General features: G+C 38.4%; 1 annotated feature.

Annotated features, from left to right (window-relative positions):
• Window positions 496–545: an enhancer, noted in NCBI's record as "active region_20987". NCBI's record gives its function as "activates an Ori minimal core promoter by ATAC-STARR-seq in GM12878 lymphoblastoid cells {active_cell/tissue: GM12878}" and the evidence as "EXISTENCE:reporter gene assay evidence [ECO:0000049][PMID:35858748]".

The following is a 2,891-nucleotide window of genomic DNA, read 5'->3' on the forward strand; positions in this document are numbered from 1 at the left end:
ATATGACAGTTTTTATTTTCTTATTGAAGTCAGTGTTTATACCCTAAGCTCAAGGATCCAAAGAATTAAAAGCAGAATAGGATCAGACACAATCTGACCCACTCTATATTTTTTGTATAAGAAAACTGAGACTAGGAAGGGGAAAGTGGTGAATATGATTACACAGTCATTTATTACAGACCTAAGAATAAAACACGACTTCCTTTACCCAGTGCTCTTTTTTTTTTTTTTTTTTTTTTTTTGAGACAGAGTCTCGCTCTGTCGCCCAGGCTGGAGTGTGCAGTGGCGCGATCTCGGCTCACTGTAAGCTCCGCCTCCCGGGTTCAAGCCATTCTCCTGCCTCAGCCTCCGAGTAGCTGGGACTACAGGCTCGCCACCACGCCCGGCAAATTTTTGTTTGTTTGTTTGTTTGTTTTGTATTTTTAGTAGAGACAGGGTTTCACCATGTTAACCAGGATGGTCTCGATCTCCTGACCTCATGATCCGCCTGCCTTGGCCTCCCACCCAGTGCTCTTTTAATTGCACCTCAGCTCACACCAAGTCTAACTATACATAAAAGTGTTTATGTCACAGGATGTGAAGTTTCGACCTCCAGTTCTGGCATATCAAATACTAAAGTGAGACAAATTATTTTTTCACTCACATAAAGGTAAAACAAAGAAAGTTTTGATGGAAAACAATTCCCAAAATATATACTGAATCATTAATAATCTATATATCCATAAATATATATTGAATCATAAAATCATTAATAATCTCTTACTGAAATCAATTTATCACTGAAGTGCTAATAAAATTGCCATCTTTAAATGATGGATTTCAAGTAAAAAGGAAAATAACCTGAAAGGAAAGGAACTCAGTCGTTCTCTAAGGATATTTAATGAAATCTAACCAGGTACCATTTTTAAATGGTAACTATGTTAATATTTTAACATTTAACATTTTAACATCTGTCAAGATAAAACAAGAAGTGATAGCAAAAACACTTGAAAGAAAATGGCCTCCTTATTGAGTTTTTCAATTTATTAGCTCATACTATCTTGCATTATAGTTTATAATTTTTTTAACTTTTATTTTAGTTCAGGGGAACCTGTGCAGGTTTGTTACATAGGTAAACTTGTGTCATCGGGGTTTGTTGTACAGATTATTTCCTAACCCAGGTATTATGCCTAGTACCTATCAGTTACTTTTCCTAACCCTCTTCCTCCTTCTACCCACTCGGCTCCCATAGACCCCAGTGTGTGTTATCCCCTCTTTGTGTCCATGTGTTCTCATCATTTAGCTCTCACTTATAAGTAAGAACACGGGGTATTTGGTTTCCTGTTTCTGCTTTAGTTTGCTAAGGATCATGGCCTCTAGCTCCCTCCTGTCCCTGCAAAGGACATGATCCCATTCTTTTCTATGGCTGCATAGTATTCCATGGTATATATGCACCATCTTTTCTTTATCCAGTCTATCGTTGATGGGCATTTAGGTCAATTCCTTGTCTTTGTGATGCATGCAGTGAACATACATGTGCATGTGTCTTTATAACAGAATGATTTATATTCCCCTGGGTGTAGACCCAGTAATAGGATTACTAGGTCAAATGGTATTTTTGTCTCTAGATCTTTGAGGAATTGCCGCACTGTCTTTCACAATGGTTGAATCAATTTACAGTGCCATCAACAGTGTATAGCATTCCCTTTTCTCCACAACCTCAATAGCATCTGTTGTTTTTTGACTTTTAATAATAGCAACTCTGACTGGTGTGAGATGGTATTTCATTATGGTTTTGATTTGCATTTCTCTAATGATCTCTGAAGCTGAGTTTTTAAATTAGATCCCATTTGTCAATTTTTGCTTTCATTGCAATTGCTTTTGAAGTCTTCTTCATGAAATGTTTGCCCATGCCTATTTCCTGAATGGTATTGTCTAGGTTGTCCTCCAGAGTTTTTATAGTTTTGGTTTTTACATTTAAGTCTTTAATCCATGTTGAGTTAATTTTTGTATATGATGTAAGGAAGGGGCCAGTTTTTATCTTCTGCATATGGCTAAATTCTGCCAGCAACGTTTATTGAATAGGGAATCCTTTCCCCATTGATTGTTTTTGCCAGGTTTGTTAAAGATCACAAAGCTATAGGTGTGCAGTCTAATTTCTGGGTTCTCTATTCTTTTCCATTGATCTATGTGTCTGTTTTTGTACCTGGACCATGCTTTTTGGTTACATTAGCCCTGTAGTATAGTTTGAAGGAGGTTAGCATGATGCCTCCAGCTTTGTTTTGTTCTGTTTTTGGTATAGGATTGTCTTGGCTATTCAGGCTCTTTTTTGGTTCCACATGATTTTTTTAAATCATTTTTTCTAGTTCTGTGAAATGTTTAATAGGAATAACATTGGGGGCGAGAGCGGTGGCTCACACCTGTAATCCCAGCACTTTGGGAGGCTGAGGAGGGTGGATCACCTGAGGTCAGGAGTTTGAGACCAGCCTGGCCCACATGGTGAAACCCCGTCTCTACTGAAAACACAAAAATTAGCCGGGCGTGGTGGCAGGCACCTATCGTACCAGCTACTTGGAAGGCTGAGGCAGGAGAATCGCTTGAACCCGAGAGGCGGAGCTTGCAGTGAGCCAAGATCGGGCCATTGCACTCCAACCTGAGTGACAAGAGCAGCGAAACTCTATCTCAAAGAAAAACAACAAGCAAACAAAAAACAGAAACAAACAAACAAACAAAAACCAGAATACTATAAATTGCTTTGGGTCATATGGCCATTTTCACAATATTGATTCTTTCCATGCATGAGCATAGAACGTTTTTCCGTTTGTTTCTATCATCTTTGATTTCTTTAAGCAATGTTTTGTAATCCTTCACATAGAGATTCTTCACCTCCCTAGTTAGCTGTATTCCTAGGT

This window comes from Homo sapiens, chromosome 3 (assembly GCF_000001405.40).
Source record: "Homo sapiens chromosome 3, GRCh38.p14 Primary Assembly".
Lineage (NCBI taxonomy): Eukaryota > Metazoa > Chordata > Mammalia > Primates > Hominidae > Homo > Homo sapiens.